Source organism: Homo sapiens, chromosome 9 (assembly GCF_000001405.40).
Source record: "Homo sapiens chromosome 9, GRCh38.p14 Primary Assembly".
NCBI lineage: Eukaryota > Metazoa > Chordata > Mammalia > Primates > Hominidae > Homo > Homo sapiens.
This window is the reverse complement of record NC_000009.12, coordinates 86,446,926-86,474,524: the sequence shown is the minus strand read 5'-3', so window position 1 is coordinate 86,474,524 and position 27,599 is coordinate 86,446,926. Positions and strand designations below refer to the sequence as shown.

The window sequence follows — 27,599 nt, the reverse complement described above, 5'->3', positions numbered from 1 at the left end:
ATCTCTCCATTTCCCCAAGCCCCAGCCCCTGGCAACCACTATTCTACTCTCTGTTTCCATGAGCTCAACTTTTTAGACTCTACTTATAAGTGAGATCATGTGATATTTGTCTTTCTGTGTCTTGCTTATTTCACTTAGCATAATGTCCTCCAGATTCACCCATGTTATCACAAATGGCAATATTTCCTTCTTTTTATGGCTGAATAATAGTCCAGCATACATATACCACATTTTCATTATCTCTCTATATATCAACAGACACTTAGGTCATCTCCATATGTTGGCAATTATAAATAATGCTGAAATGAACATGGGAGTGCAGCTATCTCTTCAACATACTGATTTCATTTCCATTGGCTGTATACCCACAAGTGGAATTGCTAGATCATACAGAGCTCTATTTCTAGTTTTTTGAGGAACCTCTATACTGTTTTTTATAATTACTATACCAATTTACAGTCCTACCTTTTCTCCACATCCTTGCCAACACTTACTGTCTTGTCTTTGTGATAATAGCCATCCTAACGGGTATGAGATGATATCTCATTGTGGTTTTGATTTGCATTTCCCTGATAATTAGTAATATTGAGCACCTTTTCATATACCTATTGGCCATCTGTATGTCTTCTTTGGAAAATGTCTGTTCAGGTCCCTTGCCCATTTTTTAATTGGATTATTTCGGGCTTTTTTGCTACTGAGTTGTATGATTCCTTATATATTTTTGGTATTAACCCCTTATCAGATATATGGATTGCAAATGTATTCTCTCATTCCCTAAGTTGCCTTTTCACTTTTGATTGTTTCCTTTCTGTGCAGAGCGTGCAGAGCTTTTTGGTTTGACGTACTCCCACTTATTTATTTTTGCTTTTGTTGCCTAAACAAGCGTTTTAATGTGTGAATTCTAGAGTGCTTATTTTGCAAACCACACACCTTATACTTCCATTATAATTAATAAATCTAAATACCAATTAAGGACTACAACTACACTACTAATTGTACCATGGCCAAGATAAAATGATCTTCACTTGAAAATTCTTTCCCATATTCATCTTATATATTTTCTCAATGAATATAGTATTAAGTCTTTCAAAGTTGACATATATTTACATATGTTTATTTTACAAATATTTGATTTGGTAGACTTTCTTTTCTATTTTTACTGGTCAAGTTCATTTAAAAAATCACCAGGCTGTTTTCTGTGTTTATCTTAAAAGTGCTAGACAACCCCCACACAACTGGTTATTCACATACTAGACATTTGGTGTTTGATGGTTAATGGCAACATTTGGTAATACTTGGCCCCCACAGCAGAGTTCACATTTTTAACTGTCATCAATAGAAGTCTTAATTTGGTAAACAGTTACTTTTTAAATAAAAACCTATTATATTTTCTTCCTTTTTAAAAAGTAGTTATTTACTTTGAATTAATTGGTTAATCCAGTTCTATTACTCCTACTCAAGTAATTTAAAAAAGCAAACTTCATTAATATTTGTAATAAAATGTGATAATCATTGTGTCATGCAGTCCCCACCAAGCAGTAAAAAATTACTCAGTATGTAAACAAATGAAAATATGAATAAATAATTAAAGCCAAAAATCTTAGTTTTTGTGCATTCAAAGTATTTGTCTAAGAGCAAATAATATGATACTAAACATAGCCTTCAGGTTAGAGATCTTAATTTCCTAGATTAAATAGGCACATATAATAATAAAATGGACAATATATGAATATACATCTATATGTGTGTATATATATGTATATAGTACATTATTTCTCAAATTTTCCTCGCGAAACCTAAATTTATTTTCTCTTTTCTTGTGAATTCTATTCAGATATAACATACATAAAGAAAAGTACATTTTAAAAAAAAGAAAAGTGGCTGGGCACTGTGGCTCACACCTGTAATCCCAGCACTTTGGGAGGCCAAAGTGGATGGATCACCTGAAGTCGGGAGTTGAAAACCAGCCTGGCCAACATGGTGAAACCCCGTCTCTACTAAAAAAAGTACAAAACTTAGCTGGGTGTGGTGGCGGGCACCTGTAATCCCAGTTCCTTGGGAGACTGAGGCAGGAGAATCGCTTGAACTCGGGAGGTGGAGATTGCAGTGAGCCGAGATCGCGCCATTGCACTCCAGCCTAGGCAACAGAGCGAGACTCCATCTCAAAAAACAAAAAAAAGAAAAGTACATAAACCATAAGTATGACACTTCAGTGAAGACACTCTTATAACTAGCACCGAGATCATGAAACAGAACATGACCAGCACCCCCAAAACCCCCTCATGAACCCTCCCACTCACAACCTTCCACAGTGACCACTAAACCCATAGTTTAGTTTTGCCTCTTTACAAACTTCATGTAATTGGAATCACACAGTATGTACTCTTTGTGACTAGGGCCTTCCTTCAATACTGTTTCTGAAATCCGTTCCTATTGTTGCGTGTAGGTGCAATTTATGTCTTCCCATTGCTCTACAGTGTTCTAGTGCACGAATATACTACAATTTATTTATCCACTATATTGCAGGGGACATATGTACACTAAAACATTATGTGTTGTTTATCTGAAATTCAAATTAAACTAAGCTGCCTGTATTTCATCTGGCAATCCTAATCCTTGCCAACACTCAACTTTGTCTGTAGAAGCACCTATTTCTATTTATTCAAAAATAAACAAATTGAAACCATTTGCCACACTTGTAGAAGTTGCATCTACAAAATAAAAGTGAAGATGTAACAGTCATTCAGTCCATCTGAATCCTGCAGACAGAGAAACTGGCTCAAGAGCACCTCCTCCTCCAGGGGGAAAAAGTTCACTTTATATAATGAACTATCTTTCAGCTGTCTACATTTATCAACTCACCTGGAACATGGCCAAATCTTCACTTTATTTTTGATGTATAAATGGCCTCAATTGTCTTAATAGTTTGCTTACAAAATAGTTTGCTTACAAACACAGAAGTTGTAATTACTATAATGTTTAGTATTTTTATAAAGTCCTTTTATTCTTCAAAGCACATTACAAGTTACAAATTAATTAAGCTCTACAATAGCCCTTCACCCCAGGGAAGAAAGAAATTTCTGTACTTCATTTAAAGTTCAGAATCCCAAAGTCAAGATATGAACTAACTGGCCGTGAGCCACAGAGTAGATTTCAAACCTAAAACTGCAGATCTTGGCTCCCCGTTCCAAACACCAAGCTTACATCAAAGGAAAACATTAACATTCTACCAAAGAAAAACCGTTGCCAGTCTTCTTTTCCATCTAAAAATGGGAAGGAGGCTGGGCACAGTGGCTCACGCCTGTAATCCCAGCACTTTGGGAAGCCGAGGTGGGCGGATCACGAGGTCAGGAGTTCGAGACCAACATGGCCAACATGGTGAAACCCTGTCTCTACTAAAAATATAAAAATTAGCCAGGCATGTTGGTGCGCACCTGTAATCCCAGCTACTCAGGAGGCTGAGGCAGGAGAATCGCTTGAACCCAGGAGGTGGAAGCTGCAGTGAGCTGAGATTGCACCCCTGCACTCCAGGCAGGGCAACAGAGCAAGACTCAGTCTCAAAAAAAAAAAAAAAAAAAAAAAAAAGAAGGAGAGCTGGGGGTCGAGGAATGCTGAACTTTTGACAAAGTGCTAATCTCCCTTCTCAGATATAAGGCTCATCAGTAAGATTTCAACCTCAGTAAAATTCTGATTTGTTTTTTGATTCTCATCAATGGGTACTCATCAAGAACACAAGGTTCAGACAAATGATAGTCACAGAAAGTCAGAAACATATAGAGTTAGGAAAATCTAGTGAGGTCCAGAGAAATTTCTAGGAGTAAATTCCAAATGATTATTTGCCAAGGATATCCTGAATTAGAATTATTCTGTTGTTATCTTCGAGTGTGACTCCTGAACTAGTACTGGAAATTACTGAACTAGTACAATAAAGCTGTTCTAAATTTCTCTCTTGACTTTTCCAGCCACAGAAATGTTGGCATGGGAGAATATTTGTTCTAAAATGGATATTGTCCAATCCCAGTCCTGACTGAAAGTGAAGCTCTGAGGTTCTGTTGGGAAACAGCTGGGATATTTCTGTGGAAAGCATTTCAATCTAATTCCATATTTGTCTTCAAATATTAACCAATGATTTATGAAACTTTCCTTGACAACCAATATTTAAAGAAATAAAAATTGTGTAGTTTTCCAGAACAACATCCCCCCTGAATTATTCCCTTAGTTCCTCCAGAAAATGTCTCCATCAAATTGCTTACAGTTAAGATCTGTGTTCCTTTTTATGCACGTGCTTTCTGTTGAATGAAGGGTGTATAGAGCACCCTTGACATAAGTAACTCCATCTTAGAAAAAGACTCCATCTTACATTTCATTGGGCACTTTGCCAACAGAAACTAGATGTTTTGCTTAATAAATAAATGTATAATAAAGACCGCATCCAACCAGATAAGGATGTAAACAAGCACACCCTTCCATTATCAGTCCTCACCAGAGAACTCTGTGGCCATAAAAAGAGAAGGGCTTCAGCAGCTCGAAATGGCCATCTTAGCTGACACTGTCTTCCTGTCACTCATGATGAGTACTTGGCATCTGCCACTGAAGGTTCTGCCAGCATCAAAGACCCTTCCATGCAAGAGAGTCAGACAGCCTGGCTCACACCACAAGATTCTTTCTGTCTTAGTCACTCTCCCTAGTTAATGAAGAATGGTTCATTAACGATTTTTTTCCTACGTCTTTTTCTCTTGATGTTAAATGTTACTTCGTTTGTTGGGGAATGTTTAATCTATAATGTTTACATATTAATCAAGTATACTATTGTGTATGGTTTGTAATATTGACTGACTGGTGGAGTGGCTTGAGCCTGTGCCCGCAGCTCTGAGAACTAAGTAAATGTGAAGTACTAAGGAGAGTTGGCTTCTTAGGAATTCCATGTAGCTCATGGCTTTTGTGATTAAATAGCATCAATAAAAGTTTCACATTATGGAAAGATATAAATGTGTGCAGACCTGTTTATTTCTGACCTTGCACCGCTCAGGAGAAAGGGAAATGGCCATTTAAAAAGTAAAAATGTAAGTAGAATTGGTGTCTATGTACTGAAAAATAAAAGTGTGAGATCTAGAAAATACACTATTGGTGATGATAAAAGATAAACTTCAGTTCACAAGTGCAAAAAGTTAACCAAAATACATTACTTAAATGGAATGAACCAAAGATACACTACTGAAAGCAGAACTCCTTACTAGGTAAGGAAGAAAAGTTGCCAAAGAGTCATAAAATTAAAAAGAGAGAGGTTTCTTTGGTTTTGTTTTGTTTTTTTGGAGATGGAGTCTCACTCTCTCTCCCAAGCTGGAGTGCAGTGGCATGACCTCGGCTCACTGCAACCTCTGCCTCCCAGGTTCAAGAGCTTCTCCTGCCTCAGCCTCCCGAGTAGCTGGAACTACAGGTGCATGCTGCCACGCCCGGCTGATTTTTTGTATTTTAGTAGAGATGGGGTTTCACCGTGTTGCCCAGGCTGGTCTTGAACTCCTGAGCTCAGGCAATCCACCTGCCTCGGCCTCCCAAAGTGCTAGGATTACAGACATGAGCCACCACGCCCGGCCGAGGGAGAGGTTTTTTAAGTGACCGCCAATACACAACAGTCAACTCGAAAACAACACAGACGTAGAAAAATAACCTTGTCTTGAGGTAGAGGGTTATTTAGCTAAAAGGGGATTTTTAAGAGATGAATTAGTGATGCGTCTTCAAGTTCTTGAAAGGTTTGAACCATTCCAATTTACCATAAAAACCTGGTCACCCTTGCCTGGCGCAGTGGCTCATGCCTGTAATCCTAGCACTTTGGGAGGCTGAGGCGGGCAGATTGCCTGAGATCCAGAGTTCGAGACCAACCTGGCCAACATGGTGAAACCTCATCTCTACTAAAGCTACAAAAATTAGCCGGGCGTGGTGGCGGGCACCTGTAATCCCAGCTACTCAGGAAGCTGAGGCAGGACAATCGCTTGAACCCAGGAGGCAGAGGTTGCAATGAGCTGAGATCACTCCATTGCACTACAGCCTGGGCAACAAGAGTGAAACTCCATTTAAAAAACAAAAACAAAAACAAAAAAACCTGGTCATCCTCCAATGCCCCACCCCACCCTTATCTCAGTAAATCTCCCCACCCCCATTTCCTCACGTCACAAACCCAGGAATCACTGTTAATGCCTTCCTTTTCCTCATTCCTCCACTTATTCAGTCTGATACTGAACCAGGCTCATTTTGCCCATGTACAGTCAACTAATCACTATGATGATGAGTTTGGCCAAAAGAGAAAAAATTTATTCACAGGACAGTCCAGCAAGGAGCCAGGAGAAGAGCTCTCATATCAGCCTCCCTGAAGATCAGACTTAGGGACATTTAAGGGTTAGAGAAGTTGGGTGGTCTAAGGTGTGGGGAAGGGCAACTGGCAGTGGAAAAAAATGAGGCAATTCATGATCTCCACAAGCATAGTTGGGATCCATGGATCTTCACAGCATGTTCAGAATATGGAAGCGTTAGCATGATCTGAGGGTGGAGTTTGGGGCTCTCTGATGTCAAAAGGTTAATCATGCAGGCTCAGTCAGAAGGTCAGTTCTAGCCAGTTTAAACTGCACAAGAGCTGCCCGACATTTCTGAAAAACAACTTAAGCAACTGGTACCATGGTAGTACATACATTAGAACTGGTATCTATAAGGAAACTAGTGAAAGCTAAGTTATAACACTTAGTAGCACACTTCAGCTATGTGGGTTAAAAAAAAATCAGCAAGGGCTGGGCTTGGTGGCTCATGCCTATAATCCCAGCACTTTGGGAGGCCGAGGTGGGTGGATCACCTGAGGTCAGGAATTTGAGACCAGCCTGGCCAACATGGTGAAACCCCAACTATACTAAAAACACAAAAAATACCCGGGTGTGGTGGTGCACGCTTGTAATCCCAACTACTTGGGAGCCTGAGTCAGGAGAATCTTTTGAACCCAGGAGGCAGAGACTGCCATGAGCCAAGATTGTGCCATTGCACTCCAGCCTGGACAACAACAGCAAAACTCCATCTCAAAAAAAAAAAAAAAAAAAAAAATCAACAAAAAGTAAGAAGCTAAAAAGAGTAGCCTTTGGCTTTAAATCTATCACCAAATATTATCTTTTCTATCTCCAGAGTATATTGTCAATTCATCCCCTCTTCCCCATCCTGATGGACACATTCCCCTTGTTCAGGTCCCATTGGTGGTCCCCATTTCCACTCCTGCCCATCAATCCACTCTCCACAAGGCAGATACAGGGGCCTTTTTAAACTCTTATCACCAGGCTGCATCCCTTCCTGGCTTTTTAAAATCATTATTATTATTTTTTAAAACAACACTTTTCAGTCATATTTCTTAGTAAAACCCACCGAACCACAAGGAACCACAACCAGCATCATCATGACACATAGGAAGTGCTCAAGAAATATTTGCTAAATAAATATTAAAGAAAATCAAGGAGGATTTCTAAGGGAGACTCCCAAGGAAGGAAGTAGTGCCAACAGAGTAACAGTGAAGGAGGTGGGAAAGATGCCACACGCGGGTGGGTTCTCAGCAGGGCATGGTTCCACAGCAAGCAGTTTGTGGCTTGATCTTAGTGGACAATCTCCAGAGAGGCCACATGAAACTCTTCTGTCTTCAGACGATGCACCTGTCTTCTCCCCAACCCACTTCCCATCTTCCACAATTCTGCTTCCAACACTTCGAGGCAACCGCTGAGGAAGCCAGAGTCTCCTGTGGGTCTCATCCGTGCATTCCTAGATACAGCGGCCTCTCCTAGTTCATCAGTACCATGCACCAGGTTTCCGGGGTCTGTGGGGGCAGTGGCTTCCCCTGGCTCTGAGATAGGTAATGCCATAAACCTCCACCAGAAATGCCAGTGGCTGAGATATGGACACATGGGTCTCAAGAATAATAGAAACCTAGCCCAGAACAAACACAAAGAAGAGTCGTAGAAGAAGGGGCCAATCAAAGAAAAGAATCCAGAGGTTATTGAGAAAAACCCATTTTCCTTAGCCACACCTTCACAAATTCACATTGAGGTAGGATTAGACAATAACCCCAGAAACATGTCATCTATCAATTGCCATCTGCTGTTTAGAATATGCTTCCTGGCAGGAGGCAGAGCTAGATGGTGGAATAGAAAGCTCCGCTGATCCTTGATGGTCACCCTCCCCGCAAGGATGCCAATTTACCAACTATTACACCAATTTACACACACAAAAAAATCACCTTCATGAGAACCAGAAATCAGGTGAACCTCATAGTACTCGGTATTAACTTCACTGAGGCACTTCATTAAGGCACTGAGGAAATAGAAAAAATAGACCGGGCGCTGTGGCTCAGGCCTGTAATCCCAGTACTCTGGGAGGCTGAGGCTGGTGGATCGCTTGAAGTCAGGAGTTCAAGACCAATATGGCCAACATAGTGAAACTCTGTCTCTACTAAAAGTATAAAAATTAGCTGGGTATGGTGGCATGCACCTGTAATCCCAGCTACTAGGAGGCAGAGGCACAAGAATCGCTTGAACCCAGGAGGTGGAGATTGCAGTGAGCAGAGATCGCGCCACTGCATTCCATCCAACTTGGGCCACAGAGCGACACTGTCTCAAAAAAAAAAAGAAAAAAAGAAAAAGAAAAAATAGTCCTGGGGCCTCAATGTCATGCTTCTCTCCCCCAACGCCAGTAGCCACAACATATGCAGAGGGTCTCTGGGCACTGGGGGAGGGAGAACACAGCAATTGTGAGACATTGAACTCAGTGCTGTCCTGTTAGAGCAGAAAGGAAAACTGGACCCAACTCAGCTGATGCCCATCCACGGAGAGAGCATTTAAAACAGCCCTAGCCAAAGGGGAAGCATTGATGCCAACAGTCCAAACTTGAGTTCCCACAAAGCTTGTCACCAAGGGGTGCTATGCTCTGGTTCTCTAAGTAAACTAGAAAGACAGTCTAGGCCACAAGGACTGCAACTCTTAGATGAGTCCTATGACTGAAGTGGCCCAGAGACACCAGGCTGGTGGGGCACACACCAGGGCAGCCAAGGGAGTGCTGGCATCACCCCTTTTCTAACCCCAGGCTGCACAGATGTGGCTCCAAAAGCAGCCAATCCCTCCTTCTGCTTGAGGACAGGAGAGGAAAGAGTAGGAAAGATTTTGTCTTGCATCTTGGATACCAGCTCAGCTTCAGCAGGATGGGGCACCAAAGTTGTGAGGCCCTCATTCCAGGCCCTAGCTCCCAGATGACATTTTTAGACACACCCTGGGCCAAAAGGGAACCCGCTGCCTTGAAGAGAAGGACCCAGTCCTGGCAGCATTCATCCCTTGCTAACTGAAGAGCCCTTGAAATCTGAATAACCGGCAGTGATACCCAAGTACGATGTCGAGGGCCTTGGTGAGCCTCTGAGACTTGCTGGCTTCAGGTGAGACTCAGCACATTCCCAGTTATGGTGGCTACAGGGCAAAACCAAACTCCTTCTGCTTGAGAAAAACAGAGGGAAAAGTAAAGGGGACTTTGTCTTGCACCTTAGGTACCAGCTTTGCCACAGGGGCATAGAGTGCCAAGCAGGATCTTGGGGGTCCCTGATTCCAGGCCTTGACTCTTAGATGGGATTTCTGGACCTGCCCTGGGCCAGAGGGGCACCATTGCCTTAAAAAGTGAGTCCCAGGCCAGGCAGCATTCACCACAAGCTGACTGAAGAGCCCTTGGGCCTTAAGGGAACATGGGCAGTAACCTGGCTGTAGCTTGTGATGGCAGGGGCTGCAGGGTGAGGCTCCTCTGCCTTTGGAAAGGGGAGGGAAGAGTGGGAAGGGCTGCACCTTGTGTGTTGAGTACCCATTCAGCCACAGTACAGTAGAACACCAGGTAGACTTCTAAGGTTTTTGACTCTGGTCCCTGACTCCCAGAGAGCATCTCTGGACCCAGCCAGGGTCTGGGGGAACTTGCTGCCCTGAAGGGAAGGACAGGCTGGGCTGGCTTTACCACCTGCTGATTGTAGAGCCCCGGGGACTTGAGTAAACATAAGCAGTAGCCAGGGAGTGGTTACAGAAGGTCTTGGGCAAGACCCAGGGCTGTGCTGTGCTGGCTTCCGGTCTGACCCAGTGCTGCACAGTCGTGGTGGCCACAGGGGTGCTTGTGTCACTCCACCCCTAGATTTAGGTGGCTCAGAAGAGAGAGAGACACTCCATTTGTTTGGGAGAAAGGAAAGAGAACAAGAGTCTCTGGCTGGTAATCCAGAGAATTCTCCTGGATATTGTCCAAGACCATCAAGGCAGTATCTCTATGAGTCTGCAAGAACCACAGCATTACTGGACTTGGGGTGCCCCCTAAAGCAAATACAGCTTAGATCATAACATCTAAGCCCTTCCCAAGAAAGACAGGTGCAAACAAGCTCAGACAGTGAAGACTACAATAAATACCTAACTCTTCAAAGCCCAGACACTGAAGAACATCTATTAGCATCAACACCATCCAGGAAAACAAGACGTCGTCAAATAAAATAAGGCACCAGGGACAAATCCTGGAGAAACAGAGATATGTGTAACCTTTCAGACAGAGAATTTTAAATAGAGTATGCTTCCCATTTCTAACTATCTGTTCAGTTACTCTTAATGATTCCTTTGCTTGCCATTAGAAAACTTGAGTTAAAGAATCTCTCCAAGAATATCATTACAGATAGACATCTAAACTGGGAAATCACAAGTTGTAGTTAAGTTTTGGTGAGCATCAGGTTAATGACAACCTTCACAAAGTGTCACCTTAACAAAGTGTGAGTAGACCATGCATTTTTAAATGACATTGAAGCAGCAGAAAATTGACATATAGATGTTAGAAGTAACAAACATAATGTGTGCAGTATGGAAGCATGTGACAGTTATGTGTTTTACCTGTTGATAACTACAGGAAGCCCTATTCTAGTTAAGGAGACAGCAGCTGATGAACAGCAGATTGGTAGAACTAATGGCAAAGTTATAACACCAAAGAAAAATAATACAGAGAACACAGATTGATAGTACCAATTTGAAAATACCAGATTGGATAATGCCAATTTGAAAATGTGTTTTCCAGGCCAGGCACAGTGGCTCACACCTGTAATCCCAGCACTTTGGGAGGCTGAGGCAGGCAGATCACCTGAGGTCAGGAGTTCGAGGCCAGCCTGGCCAACATGGTGAAACCCCATCTCTACTAAAAATACAAAAATTAGCTGGGCATGGTGGTGCATGCCTGTAATCCCAGTTACTCAGGAGGCTGAGGCAGGATATTTGCTTAAACGTGGGAGGTGGAGGGTGCAGTGAGCCGAGATCACGCCATTGCACTCTAACCTGGGCAGCAAAAGCAAGACTCCATCTGAAAGAAAGGAAGAAAGGAAAGAAAGAAAGGAAGAAAGGAAGAAAGGAAAGAAAGGAAAGAAAGGAAAGAAAGGAAAGAAAGGAAGAAAGAAAGAAAGAAAGAAAGAAAGAAAGAAAGAAAAGAAAAAGAAAGAAAGAAAGAAAGAAAAGAAAAAGAAAGAAAGAAAGAAAGAAAAGAAAGAGAGAAAGAGAAAGAAAGAAAGAAGAAAGAAAGAAAGAAAGAAAGAAAGAAAGAAAGAAAGAAAGAAAGAAAGAAAAGAAAGGAAGGAAGAAAAGAAAGGAAGGAAGGAAGAAAAAGAAAGAAAAAGAGAAAGAAAGAAAATGTGTTTTCCATTCTTGGTACAGCTCCTAGAGAATATGTAACAACAAATAAGATAACATGGGGTTTCACCATGTTGGCCAGGCTGGTCTCGATCTCCTGACCTCAGGTGATCTGCCTGCCTTGGCCTCCCAAAATGCTGGGATTACAGGCATGAGCCACAGCACCCGGCCAGCTCTTCCTTATTGATCTGTTTCTCTCAGTGTAGAGAATTAGCACTATTTTAAATCTTCCATTTTTGGCTGTCAAATCTGTATTAAAGGATTTAAGCCAAAGCTACTAACTCTGGCTATAGAATGTTAGTCTGAGGGATCAGAAACAGAAACATACCTTCTGTATTAACATATCTCAACTGGATAAGAAGGGCAAAACCCACCATAGTCAGCCAGTTCATTTCCTGAGCCTCACTGCACCTTGAACTCTAATCACCTCAAAAAAAAAAAAAAAAAGTGCTGGTCTTATATTTTTCTTTCTTATTTTCTTAAAATAGACATTATATGAATCATCTATTCCTGATCACCTCTAAGATTGAGTTACTTTTCCTTTACATAATGTGTAAAGATTATCCAAATTTCAAATGGCCTTATTAACCATATTAAGTTGAAGGATTTTGATTGAGGAATTTGAATAAGAAATGTTGTGTCCTTTGAGGACTATGAACTATTAATATGGGATGAGGTGAATATTTCACATATATGTATATAGCTCATTAAATGGATCACCCTAATCACTATATTAACTTTTAGCCCAGGATTATCCAAGGAATACAAGTTCATTTCCTCACTTAATATTATCTTCCTTGTCATTTCTCCTTAAATTCTGTATACGCTTTCTTATACATTTCTACTCTGGTTGTCAGGGAAGGCCCACGTCTTTCTGAACACTTGAGAAGAAAAAGTACTTTTCACTTTATTTGAAATAAAATTTACATTCTACCTTACAACTTACAAATCATTGTTTATATGTGTTTGCCCCATTTGAAATAGTTGTTTGTGAAGGTTAGAAACAGTCGAGGCTGGATGTGGTAGCTCACACCTCTAATCCCAGCACTTTGGGAGGCCGAGGCAGGAGGATTGCTTGAACCCAGGAGTTAAACACCAGCCTAGGTAACATAGTGAGATCCAGTGTATATCAAAAAAATAAAATAAAATAAAAAATAAACTAGGCATGGTGGCACACGCCTGTAGTCCCAAGTACTCAGGAGGCTGAAGCAGGAAGATCACTCGAGTACAGGAGTTCGAGGTTGCAGTGAGCCATGATTACACCACAGCATTCCAGCCTGGGTGACAGAACAAGACCCTGTCTCCAAAAAAAATGTTGAATATTGGTAATTTCATACACTTCCATGTAGTGTTATGTCATTGCATCCTCACAACAACCCGTGAGGCAGGCATTATTATTCCTTTTTACAAATATTAAAACAGATTCAGAAAAGTTATGAAAATAACTGGCATAAAACCACTCAGTAAGTGCATGGCCAATACTTAGGGGCCAAATCTTCCGATTTTAAATCCTATTTTTTTTCCTATTATAATGTGTTGAACTCAATACATAGTTCAGGACTTTTGAGGGATCTTGTTTACAATGTCCAGGATCTAAACAATATATTTTCCCTGTACACACTGAGGTATTTCAAAGAAAAGATTCAAACCCAAGAATCACTGAGCTTACCTTTATTTAAGGTCTGGAAAGCAAATTATAAGAATAAGGGAAAAAGAAGAAAAGGGAATAGAAAGGGTCTTATTGTACTCGTGATTGGCTGGGGCTTTAATTCGTCCTTTATTAAAGAATTAATGCATGGGACTACACGGCTTCCTAGACCATCTGCTTTTCCTTTAAAGTGTTTTCCTTTTTCAAAACTGAATTTTTTTTCTAACTGATGTAAAACAAGGGTCAGTTCTTCATAAAAAAAGAAAAGTCAGCTTTATCTAATTCATAGCCTGGCTCAAAGCCACTATGAGTTTCACTGAAAAATTCTCACGGATCTTGACCCACGCATTGCTGGCCCGAGGGTGACTGAGCAGTACCAGCACTGATAACCTGGAAGGTAGCACCGCCTGCTTTCGTAGACTGCCTCCCAAGAATCAGGACTCACAGGCAGCAACAAGCACCTGAGTGCTCAAGAACTGGAAAATAGTGGATCCGATTCAATCTGACATCCTTTTCATATGGCTTCCAAACTATCAGCCTCTTCTCTATTACATCTTCTGTACCAGAATTCCAGGACTGCACAGGAAATGAAAACAAAGCTCAGGTACATCTTATCTATCCTAACAAAAGACATCCTTAATGACCGGGCTGTTAAAAGAAAAACTTCCGCCGAATTAAATTTAAAGGAGTTTAATTGAGCAATGAATGATTCGTCAATCTGGCAGCCCCCAGAATCACAGCAGATTCACAGAGATTCCAGGGATGCCTCATGGTCAGAACAAATTTATAGGCCAAAAAAAAAAGGAAAGTGATATACAGAAACCAGCAGTGAGGTACAGAAACAGCTGAATTGGCTACAGGTTGACATTTGCCTTATTTGAACATAGTTTGAATAATCGGCAGTGTATGAGGGGTTGAAGTATGGTTGCTAGTATTGGCCAAGACTCAGCTATTGTTAGAGGGCATACTCCTAAATTAGGTTTTCAATCTTGTCTCCCTTTTAAGTTAGGTTGCAGGTCCTCCACAAGGACTCAAATATAGAAATACAGGATCCTTCTCAGGCCATATTTAGTTTGCTTTAACAGGGCATTATGTGAATACATACTGTATTCCATTAAGAGATCCTTGCTCTGAAGAAATTTTAAAAGTGAAAAAAACCTTTCACATCTGGAGAGCGCATCTTTGGAATGCAATGTGAGAGAACATTCCCCAGGAGATGGAAACATATTTATGATCTCCAAGTTATAGGTGAGTAAAGCAAGATAGGAAATACCTAAATTCTCTTTGTAAACGAAACCGGTAAAATACGTTCTATGGAGGTGGGGGGGAATAGTATATACACACATACTCACTAAACCTTCTTGAACTTTCAAGGGTTGTTAAAGTGATAGACTCAAGATACAGAGAGTGCTGATACATCTGAAGATGAATGGTATGAGTACAATGGGTTCTATTTCCAGTTTCCATTTTTGAAAATATCCTTGGCCTGATTTTTTTTCAGATCTGTCTAAAATTCTCTTTGGGCCTGGATCCTGGGATGAGTATCAAACGTTTATGGCCAGATAAAGCAACTCTCTCTGTGTAGAACATTTTTCCTGTTTCTTATTTAAGGCACTAGTAATTAATCTGAACTGTATTTTCTCAGACATCAAGAAACCAGATTTTTAAATTCTCTCCTTTCCTTTCTGCCCCCTCCCCATCCTTTAAGGAGAAACAGGAAACATTTTTCCTGTCATCATAACCTTTTGGTGGGGTGGGTAGGAGATTTTATTTTCTGATGAATCTGTTGCTAAGCTTCAGGCAGTTTGAGCTCTGAGGTATCTGAATGGCAGGAAGTGATTTACTAAGATTTATCCCTGGAGAACAAAGATTGGAACACAATAGTGATTTTGTTAATACTATAAAAAGAGATTTTCTACATATAAATCACATTGACATATGTTTCTAGGTTAAATGTCCATAAGGTTCCAATTTAAACTAGAAAGAAAAAAAATCACACTCAACAATCTCATATTGTAGATTCAATATGAAACGTGAATTTTATCAACAAAATCATTCACCTCTTAAAAAAAAGAAAGCAAAAAACCCTAGCATGAGTTGACTAAGCCCAAAATATTCTTATGGCAAATAGTTAAAATATTTTCAAGGAAAAATTTTGAGGGGAAAAAAAAGTATAAGAATCCTCCCATAAAACACAAGTTTTAGGTTAATGCTAGTTTGGCATTTAATAGCACATTTCTAATTAGTTGCTTTACCAAAAATCTTCCTCCCACCAAATGTTCACAGATAATGCATTCTATGCTTCTTTGTCAAAGAAGAGAGGAAAGAAAAAAAAAATAAGTCTGACATCTAGATTTTTTCAAATTATTTCCTAAAAATGTTTAAGCACCTTTGAAGTTAAGGGACCTGAGTTCATTCATTCACTTATTTGGAAACATGCTTAATGAACCTACTAGATATCAGAGACCAATCAGGCCCTGGCTGCCCTTAAGGAATTCAGAGTCTACTGAAAGAAAATTGCCCGAGAGCACTTAGAGAAGAATGAGGGAGTGCTATCACCAGGACCAAACTCTCCACAAACAAACTCTGTTCATGACTGTTCTCATCCCTTCCAGGGATAAAGAGATTAACAGTAGGATCTCCATATAGGGAAAGCACAGGAATCTATCATAAGCACTTTATAAGCATTAAATCAGGCCCAATTTTCACAATTTGAATAGGTATTATTTGTTCCATGAAGCAGATAAGGAATACCGAGGTTCAGAATGTTGAGGTCACGTAGCTATTAGGCAGGAAAGCCACTCCCTGAAGCTCCTCTGTCTCCACATTCCATGCTGCTTTAACTAAGCCCTGTGCTATCACCTCGTTGTAGATTAAATCAACCTTCATTAGTCCTTTTGTTATACTACCACAAACTAACATCGTTGCAATAAGAGAGGGAACCCCGGACTGAATTCTCGAGATCATTTGCTTTTGTGAAATTATAACTCTTTATTCAGACATAGTGTGAATTATAACAGAGTATATGGAGTTTGGGGACTGAAGAGCTTCATTTTATTGTGAGAGCTAGAAGTAAAGAGCTAAACATTTTGGAGTACCTATGACACTTTGTTTACCTTTTTCTAGAGTAGCTCACTTAGGCATCCTAGTATATCTAAAACCTCATAGAGCCTTTTGTGCTCATGTAAAACTCTTCCTAGAGAGCCCATCAGGGTTTGCAGTAGAAGTTTAGGAGCTCATTGGTTAGATTATCTAGTTAAATTAATGTTCACTCGGATAAACTGTTAATTTACAGGCTCTAATGAACAAAGTCTTTCCTCACTGGGTCCGTCCACCACCCAATTCCACACTAAACCAAACTTACAGGGAAGACGGAGCCCACCATGACACCTGGATATCCAGTCACAGAAAATGTGGAAGTCTGTCTGGCTAGGAGGTCTCCCTCCCTGGCCTACATCCCAGGGTGCCTGTTATGACTTGGAGACTTAACTTCAGCTGACCGAGACAACAGTCAGCAAATAGTAGATTTATCTTCTATTTTAACTGGTTTGTTAAGGGGCATTTACAAATGAGTCACCTTTTCTTTTCAATACTATAAAATGTTCTAAGTACATAATGCAGAGAATAGTCACCATTTTTAAAGCAATTATACATTGTAATTTCCTTACTGTGTAGTAAAGGGGAAAACATGCACCTGTAGCAAATGCACAAAATATGTGCTCCCCAGTTGTACTTATTTTTAGGACAATATGTCCTTTCTTCATGTCCTAAATATGGCCAAATTAAAGCCTCCCTTGCTTTGGCTTTTGAAGATAATAGCAAATGACAGAAAAATCATTTCTATTGGTGTCATTCCATAAAATGTATAATGCAAATCTCTTCCTGTCAGATAGGGAGTATTAGTAAAGTTTCTATATTAGATATTATTAGGTATATCTATTATTAAATATGTTTATTATTAGATATTATTTTCTAGGAAATTTTCTTCCAAAGGAAAAATAGATCCCATAATACCCACTCTTCTATTCCTCTTGACTAATATGAGAATTATCAGAAATTTTGTGTTTAGTTTTGTAATTGAGTTGTCGGGTGAGCAGGGGTGAAAGGATGTAAGGATGATTCTAGCTCAGTAACTGCGTGGATGGTTCATTAATGGAAACAGGAATTAGAGGGACCATTTTGAGGGAAAGATGAGAATTAGAAGCATGGGAGAAAGATCTAGATAGTAATCATAGATTTGTGAGCTATTCCACAAAAGAAGTGTTGAAACAGGCTATAGAAATTTTATCTCATAAACATAGGCCTGTCCTTGCCTATGTAGGTGAAGCAAAGACCTTGTTCCAACCAGAGTGTTGGACAAATTTGCAAGATGCCATGCTGTTAGTTCACATTTGTGCCCTACACAAGTCAAATGCACACAGTCGTGCTAATTAAATTGTACCCACCCTCAGTTTCAGACATCTCTCAAGCATATCAGGCATACCTGGGCATGGCTGAGAACAGAGGCTGCACACACGAGGGACGAAGGAACCACCAGGGAAATAACCAAGGTTAATTGATGTAAGCCTCCTTCCAGGATAGCAAGCCAAGGAAAGATTTCTGAATAAAACATGTGCCTGTCACTCATCTTACCCACCTAGTCCTCAGGGACACATGCCCCATGTCCTCAATTGAGATGGCTTCATTAAAAGGAAGGAAACACAGATATCTCCGTGGGGCTTTGATAGCACAAGATAGAGCCACCTTGGGGCAATGGCTGTCTCTGAACAATTGTGGCAGAGTGAGCACCATGAACAAAAGCCCCCAGACTCCGCGTGAGCTTTGCTGAGGCTTGGTGGGCATCCTGGTTGGCAGTGGTGTCTTGATGGGTGAGGACATCGGGCACTCATGCCCTTGAAAGACCCCAATGACCCAATATCAGGTGTTAAGATTACCAGGAGACTAACTCCTCACCCTGCTGACTAACTTCCCATCCTCCTTACCTCAGCAGAAATGGACCACACTATAGTCTCAAATAAACTATACCTGGGCTGGGCGCGGTGGCTCATGCCTGTCATCCCAGAATCTTGGGAGGCCGAGGCCGGTGGATCACCTGAGTTCGGGAGTTCAAGGCCACCCTGACCAAATGGAGAAACCCCGTCTCTACTAAAAATACAAAATTAGCCGGGCGTGGTGGCTCATGCCTGTAATCCCAGCTACTCAGGAGGCTGAGGCAGGAGAATTGCTTGAACTCGGTAGGCAGAGGTTGCAGTGAGCCAAGATCGTACCATTGCACTCCAACCTTGGCAACAAGAGCGAAACTCCATCTCAAAAAATAAAAAAATTACACCTGGAAAAGTGGAAAATGAAAAATGCCACATCGTGCCCAAGAAGCGCATGTGAAATTGTTCCATGAGGACTCCCAAAGCGATGTAGAAAGAATTAGAGAATCTAAAATGTCTGCAGTTTGTAGAGGCAAAGCCGTAGAAATACTACTCGCTGACTTCTTTTCATCTTATTTTTACCCCTAGTCTAGAGTGACTTCAGAAATACAAGTTGTACTGAAAAACAGGGTTACATAAGTAAGGAAATAAAAAGCAAAGAAATGTATAACTCCCATCATTTCCCCATGCATGAAGATGGGTCTATATCCAAGCACTTATCATAATGCAGAAGTTTCTGAGTTTTTTTCCTAAGAAAATATTTTAAAATTACATTGCAGTTCCCTTTTCACCCCCTGGCAGTAAAATGCTTACAGCAGTTGTTCTCCTCTGAACCTCTCTGGCAGTCCTCTGGGCCTCTTTTGCTTCAATACAAGAAAGAAGAATGTGAGGGCTCCTATTTTCTGATATTCACAGTGATCAGAAAGAATGTTTCTTTGGAAAATTCAAGGTAAACTTGAGACACAATAGCAGGCACTGTTCTCACAGCTAATTGGGAACCTGGATGGTGCCCAGGTTTGAATCACACAGAAGTAATTATTCCTTTCCCTTCACAGATAACTTTGGAAAAGCATTCCCTTACATTCATGAACTTTTCTCACTGCAGCATGAGAAACGTAGGAATGTAGCTCAGCCTGCCTTGCCCAGAGGAAGATCTGTTTCCCAAAACTGAATGCATTTGTTTAAGCCTGTTTCAAAAAGAAAAGTTGAAAGTTTACCTCAAGATTCCCTTTTGGGAAGGTAGATGGATGGAATTTTATCAGATTACTGAGAAAGTAATGGTGAGTATCTGCCAAAAAATCAAATTGCTTTCTTTTTCTTTAAAACGACAACATCATCAACAACAAAACTCATGCCGATTTTGCAACGGGAAGACAGCCCACATGGCCAATTAGTCAAGATGAAATGCGGTGGTTTGGCATTTCTGGAAATTCAATTCTCAGGTTTTGAAAAATCTGAAGAAAACAAGAAATTGTATTGTTAAAGTGGAATAAATTAGCAGAGTGGCAGCAACCCACTTGTAAGAAACGCTGGTTTGCAAACAGGAAAGAACGTTTGAAACAGAAATGTTGTCTGTAAAAACAGCTGTTTAAATTAACTACGTGGAAATCATCTCAAACATGCAAAGAAGCAGCACAGCAATAAATGCCCAAATAAATACATGGAGAGAGTATCAAACATGGGGGAAGAGAAGCACAGCAATAAATAATACCCAGTAGCAGGAATGAGAAGCTGCATTTGGGGAGCTGCAAGTCCTATATATTTTTATCCTTTGCTTCATTTTACACCAAGGTCAGGAGGAAGGCACCCAGGTTCCTTTGACTGGGACTTTAAACAGACCCAGAACAGCTGAACAGGGTTAAAAATATATACATATATATTAAAATCTGAAGCAAAAGAGTATCAGAAAAGAGAAAGCAAGGCTAGGCACAGTGCCTCATGCCTGTAATTCCAGCACTTTGGGAGGCCAAGGCAGGAGAATTGCTTGAGCCCAGGAATTCAAAATCAGCCTGGACAATTTAGAGAGACCCTGTCTCCACACACACACAAAAATAAAAATTAAAAAATTATCCAGGCATGGTGGTAGGGTGGTGGGTGCCTGTAAACCCAGCTACTGGAGAGGCTGATGTGGGAGGATCACATGAGCCTGGGAGGAGGAGGTTGCAGTGAGCTGAGATGGCACCACTGCACTCCAGCCTGGATGACAGAGCGAGACTCTGTCTTGAAAAGAAAGAGAAAGCAAAGTCTGGAACAGAAGACATGAGAACCAGGCCGTCAAGCCAAGATCAGGAACGCTCCAAGTCAGAGTGAAGAGACAAAATCACAGGAGCTCAGGTTCACTTACTAAAAAAGGGCAAGGCTAGTGAGGCCAAGGAGCACCCTAGCATAGGGCTCTTCAGACTTTTCCAAGGGACTCCCAGTGATAGAAGTGAGTAGCTTCATACCCTTGAAGATTCTGGAGGCATGACTGGAAACAGACAGGCCCTGGGAAAGCATTTGTAAATATTATATACTTTAAAAATTAAAAGACAAGCATTTTGCTCTATAAGGTAGCTTTGTTCTTTTCAAAGATTATGTAAGATCGGTTTGTCATCATCAAGTAGAATGTACTGCTGAGACGGTAGCACCATATGAAAATATACAGTCTAAACCCTAGCCTTGTGCACCTGGGAGAATAGAACCTGTGTTTGAAAAGCCCCAGGCTCAACCATTATCCTTGGTTGCACCTCCACGGGTGCTCAAACTATTTGTCTCATGACCAAGCATAATGTCTGATCGTTACAGTCTTTTTCAAAATGCCATGGAAGCCAAACAAGAGTCAAACAAAGCAAGACATGGGGCCATATGAAGCCTTAGCATCATTGTTATGGTCTGAATGTTTGTATCTTTCCCCAAATTCATCTGTTGAAATCCTAACCACCAAGGTGATCGTATTAGGAGGTGGGGCCTTTGGGAGGTGATAAGGTCATGAGGATGGAGCCCTCATAAAGGAGATCAGTGCCCTTATAAAAGAGGTTTCATCCACGTGTGTCAAAATGGCTTTTTTAAAAAGAGACCCCAGGGAGCTGCCTTGCCCCTTCTACCATGTGAGGACACAGAAAGAAGCAGCCCTCTCTGAACCAGGAACAAGCCCCGACCGGACACTGAATCTGCTGCCATCCTGATCTTGGATTTCCCAGCCTCCAGAACTTGAGAAATAAACTTCTGTTGTTTATAAGCCACCCAATCTATGGTATGTTGTAGCAATGTGAATGGACTAAGACAACTATAGTTTACCAACTTCTAGCAGACTATGTGCATGTCCCATAGTAAAAACTCAAATATTTGAATGAAGGACATAGAATCTGAGAGCTAGGTAGCAGATTTTTAAAGGGAAAGAAACTGAGTCCAAGAAAGAGGAAGTAAACAAATAAAAATTGTAACATATTTTATCATAAAAATCTATTTTGTGTGCAGATTACGCATTTTAATAAAGGACAAAGGTAAGCTGGGTATGTAATGGAGTTTTGGTGCAAGTTCCCCAGAAAGATGTAGCCTAAACACAGGTCATTGTTCAAAAACTTTATTGGGGAGTGTGATCCTAGCTAGGAGCAGGAAAGAGGGACAAGGGAACAAAACAGGATCAGGGGAAGCACCAGTACAAAGAGGCTTTGATGAGCTGGCCACCACTCCAAGGACCTAATTGCTTGATCCTGCAGGATTGCCTCAAGAATTGTATGAAGTGATCTTTCCAATACTTCTGGGTTATGCAGCAGTGGGAGCTGGGTGGTTTTGTTGCTTATATTGTTTTTAAAAGGAGAAAAGGTGAGAAATTGTTGAGTTGCATAAGAGTGCAGCTGGCCAGAGGCACTGTGAAACTGACTGTTGCTGGCATTAGTACATGAGGACTCTGAACTCAGAGCTTCTGGAACACTAGGCCAGTGTCCAATGTCTGCAGCAGAGAGGAAATCGGTGTGACTAGAATGGAGAACCCTCTACGAAGGCTACAAATAGTATACCAGGTATAAAACTCCCCCTGAAAGTAAAAATATGTAGATTATGAGTTAGCAAAGAAAGAACAAGAGAGAAATGGGTGAAGGGAAGCACACCACAGCCAAATAAGAAAAAAAATAGCCAATAAAGCGTTTGTGTTCCTAAGATACCACTGACACATATTTACAGTGGGTCCTGAAGAGCGACCGTTCTGAGGCTTTATCTATCAAGATTAAAAAGCTACATCATAGTTACATCTTTTTTTTAAGATAGTATATTCCAAACTCTTCCAAAATAATATTCACACACTGCTATGGTTTGAATGTGTCTCCTCCAAAATTCATGTTGAAACTTAATCCCCATTACAGTGGTATTGAGAGATGGAGCCTTTGGAGAAGTGAGGAAGTCATAGTGGCTCCATCCTCATGAACAGATTTGTGCCTTTTAAAAGGGCTAGAGGGAACTAGCTTAGGCCTTTTTTTGCCCTTCTACCTTCTGCCATTTGAGGACTCAACATTTGTCCCTTCCAAAGGATGCAGCAACAAGGCACCATCTTGGAAGCTGAAGGCAGGCCTTCACCAAACACCAAACCTGCTGCACCTTGATCTTGGGCTTCCAGCATTCAGAATGGTGAGAAATAAATTTCTGTTCTTTAAAATTACCCTTTCTCCAGTGTTTTATTATAGCAACACGAACAAACTGAGACACCCACTTCTTCTTCAACATGATCATAAATCAGAACACACTCCTGAAATGTGTCTTTGGATAAGGCAATGTCTTAATTTGCTCGGCTTCCATAGACAGGGCACAAAAATTTATTTTTTCACCATTCTAGAAGCTAGAAGTCCACAAATAAGGTGCTAGCATGGTCTGTTGCTGGCTTGCAGATGGCTTCCATCTCTCTGCATGCTCATGACATTTCCCCAGTGCATGCATTCGAATGAGAGAGAGACAGAGAGACAGGACAAACAGCACTGGTGACTCTTTAAGGGCACTAATCCCATCATACTAGAATCTCACTCTCATGGCTTCAACTAACCCTGACTACCTCCCAAAGGCCCTAGCTCCAAAGATGGCCACACTGGAGTTTAGGGGTTCAACATATGATTTTGTTTTGGGGGCAAAAATATTCAGTCTATAACAGGAATTAGTTTGAAAATGAAAACCAGTGTTTCAACTAAATCTCATTGTATCCATTTGGAAATTCTTTTCAGCCCACCTCTCAAGCATGACAAGTCAGTTTCATGAGTGGGCATAGGAAGTATTGAGTGTCACTTCATCTCTCAGTTAAAAGTAGGTCTTTTATTGTATGCAAGTAAATTTTCATCTCAGGACTGCTTTTACTATATCCCAGTGTGCTGTGTTTCCATTTTTGTTTGTCTCAAGATATTTTTTGGTTTCCCTTTTGACTTCTTCTTTGACCCATTGGTTATTCAGGGCCAAAGACCCCAACATAGCAAAGATTTATGTTATTTAATTTCCATGTATTTGTGAATTTTCCAAGATTCCTCCCGTTATTTATTTTTAGTCTCATGACACTGTAGTCAGAATAGATACGCAATATGATTTCAATCTTCACAAATTTGTCAAGACTTGTTTTGTGGCCTAACATAGGATCCATTGTGGATGATGTTCCATGTGCAATTGAGATGAATGTGCATTCTGTTGCTGTTGGATGGAATGTTCTATAAATATGTGTTAGGTCCATTTGATCTAAAATATAGTTCAAGTCCAATGTTTTCTTATTGCTTTTCTGTCCAGTTAGTCTGTCCAATGTTGAAAGTGGAATGCTGAAGTTTTCTATTATTATCATGTTGCAATCTATCTCTTCAGATTTATTAATATTTGCATTATATATTTAGGTGTGCTGATTTTGGATGTGTGTGTATACATATTTCAAATTGTTATCAATCACTGATGAATTGATGCCTCTATCATTATATAATGACAATCTTTGTCTCTTTTTACCCTTTTTTACTTAAAGTCTATTTTGTCTAATATAAGTATGGCTACCACTGCTTTCTTTTGGCTTCCATTTGTGTGAAATTTCTTTCCATACCTTTACTTTCAGTCTGTGTGTCATTAGAGGTGAAGTGAGTCTCTTATAGGCAGCATATAGTTGGGTCTTTATTTTTCTTAGTCTATTCAGTCAGTCGATGTCTTTTTATTGAGAATTTAATCTATTTATATTCAAAGCAATTATGCATACATTATGCATACATTTTGTTGATGGTTTTCTGGCTAATTTGTATATCCTTGTTCCCCTCTTCCTTTCTTGCTGTCTTCCTTTGTGATTTGATGATTTTCTGTAGTGGTATCCTTCGAATCCTTTGGTTTCATCTTTTATGTGTCTGCTAAGGGCTTTTGCTTTGTGGTTACCACCAGGCTTGCATAAAACCTCTTATACTAATAACAGGCTGATGTATTTAAGCTGATAATTACTTAACTTTGATCACTTACACAGACTCTACACTTTTCTCCCTTCCCCATTTGTTTTTGATGATGTATTTTCTATCTTTGATAGCCTGTATCTTTTGACAAATTATTATAGCTATAGTTGATTTTGATAGTTTTTTTAACCTTCCTACTAGAGCTATAACTGATTTTCACACTACCATTACAGTATAAGAGTGTTCTGAGTTTGACTGTATACTTACTTTCACCAGTGAGCCTTATATTTTCATATATATATTGCTACCTGGAGACCTTTTAAGAGTTGTGCTCAGGATGGTGTTAGTGCACAAGTGTATCTTTACTTTTCCTATCAATTTTGATGTGGATGTTTTCTCAGTCATCTGGTGTGTAGGAGTCTTTCAACTGGATTCTGGCTTTCTATTGAAGTGTAGGTGTTTACTCAGTGTGTCTGTAGGAGGATGGAAAGTCAGGAGCCTCCCATTCCATCATGTTGCTAACCCACTGCTTTATTTTTTTTAACGACTTTGGGTGGACAACTATCATCCCAGGAGGAAATCTACATTGTATAAAGTAAGAAAAGAACTCTGCAGTCTGGGCATGGTGGCTCATGCGTATCAATCCAGCACTTTGGGAAGCCAAGGTGGGAGGATTGCTTGAGACCAGGAGTTCAAAACCAGCCTCGGCAACATAGTGAGACCCTATCTCTACAAAATAATAATAAAAATAATAACAATAATAATAAAAAGAAAAGAAATTTTCAGGAGAATATGTATATATTAATTTTAGTTTTACAAAAACAACCAAAAATAACTCCCACGTAGATGTATATGGAGTACGTGTGTGTGCATATGTGTGTGTGTATTAGTGTTCCCTGCTTTGTGATGCTTCTATCATCCCCTCACAGAAAGAAGGAGAGAAGTGGAAACATTTATTTTAGAGAATTAACATTCATTTACTGCATACAGAGTTGGGGGATATCATTGACTTGTTCCTTACTTATTTTTATATTGTTATATTAGTTATAATGATCATGAATCCTGCTTGTGAATAACAACAATACAAAAAAGAATAAATAAAAGTAAAAAAGGAAAATGGGGGGGGAAGGGAAAGATGGTGCTAAGAAGTTCTTCTCAAGTTTTAATTACCAATCATTTAGTTCTAGTGACCTAAATTGTTTTATTGTTTTACCTTTTTTTTTCTGCTGGCAATTTAGTGATTTTTTTCTACTTTGAATTATTTTCTCAGGAATATTTTTGATAAATTTATCAAAAAAATCATCTATACATATTCAGGAATAATTTGGCATTAAGTAATGCTGTGTAAAAACAAAGAGCTGGGACAGGTGCAGTGGCTCACGCCTGTAACCCCAGCACTTTGGGAGGCCGAGGCAGGTGGATCACCTGAGATCAGGAGTTCGAGACCAGCCTGGCCAACATGGAGAAACCCCGTCTCTACTGAAAATACAAAAATTAGCCGGGCGTGGTAGTGGGTGCCTGTAATCTCCACTACTCAGGAGGCTGAGGCAGGAGAATCACTTGAATCCAGGAGGCAGAGGTTGCAGTGAGCCGAGATGTCGCCACTGCACTCTAGCCTAGGTGACAGAGAGAGACTCTGTCTCAAAAAAGAAAACAGAAAACAAACAAACAAACAAACAAACAAAAACGAAGAGCTACGTGGTAAGCCATCATAGTTTAAATGTTTCTGATATGAAAGAGAGGACTTGAAAAAACAACACAGGACCATAGGGCTTTGACTTAATTAAGGGCATCTATAACTTGCCAGTGCCGTCAGACCAATCCTTCCAGGAATGTAGTAAGCTGCTGAGATTCATCAAGTAAAATCACCCTCTGAAGTTCAAGTAAGTATATATAAATGTGCCCTAGTGAAAGTGTCAAATGACACTTTGATAAGACTGTAGGAAAAGGTGAGTACTACCTTAAGTACCAGAGTTTGAAAGTACATTATTTGGAAGGCTGATCTTGAACACTGGAGTAAGACGACATAGGAATAAGTGGAGATAAAGAGGCCCATGAACTTCAACACCTTTTTTTTAAATTATTTTATTTTATTTTTTAGACAGAGTCTCGCTCTGTCTCCCAGGCTGGAGTGCAGTGGTGCAATTTCAGCTCACTGCAACCTCCACCTCCTGGGTTCAAACGGTTCTCCTGCCTCAGTCTCCCAAGTAGCTGGGATTACAGGTGCCTGTCACCACGCCCGGCTAATCTTTTGTATTTTTAGTAGAGATGGGCTTCACCATGTTGGCCAGGCTCGTCTCGAACTCCTGACCTCAGGTGATCCACCCGCCTCAGCCTCCCAAAGTGCTGGGATTGCAGGCGTGAGCCACCATGCCCAGCCAGCACCCTCTATTTTGAACACCCTCATTATCTTTAGGCAGAGTACAAGCATAATTCTGACACTATGTACTGCCACCTACTGTAGAAGGCCTGAGGCTGTGGGGTGCTGGTGAGGGCAGGGAAAGTAAACTTAGCCACAGACTGCCTGGATGACCAGAACCATGGGCCAAAGACTCTGGACACCCGAGAGGGAATTTCTACATCTTCTCAGGCCCTAATTTTTTTATGTTGAGTAGAACACACAAAACAATGTGAATATATAACTACATGACTTGATCAAAGGCCGTGAGAGCAATAACAGGAGCTGTTTGGGGCCTACAGCCTCAGGTTGACCCCTTTTTGATAAGTCAAATTCCTTCTCTTCATGACCTCCTTCTTTAAGGAGCAAATCCTCGCAAACACCTCCACAGAACTTTCTTCAAGATGGAGCTAACTAGATTACATATGGCTCTAGATCTGTATACAATATTTGCATGTGGTTTTACTCATTATACAATAATCCTACTACCAGAAAGAACCAAGGCAATCAGGGTCAGAGAAGGCAGAGGCAGATGTTTAATACCACATGGTCAGATATCTACCAGGTGAATGATAGGAT

The 27,599-nt window shown here is 40.6% G+C and overlaps 1 long non-coding RNA gene across 2 annotated transcripts in view; it reads right to left on the bottom strand.

Annotated features, from left to right (window-relative positions):
* Positions 1-27,599, bottom strand: part of LOC102724080 (uncharacterized) — a 117,440-nt gene that overhangs the window by 56,756 nt on the left and 33,085 nt on the right. Inside the window, exon 4 of one of the 2 annotated variants that reach the window (XR_001746546.1) lies at positions 21,496-22,275. The exons of the other annotated variant lie outside the window; for it this stretch is intronic. This is a non-coding gene — a long non-coding RNA (uncharacterized LOC102724080). Of the gene's footprint in view, positions 1-21,495; positions 22,276-27,599 lie in introns of those variants that run through there. 2 annotated transcript variants of the gene reach the window in all.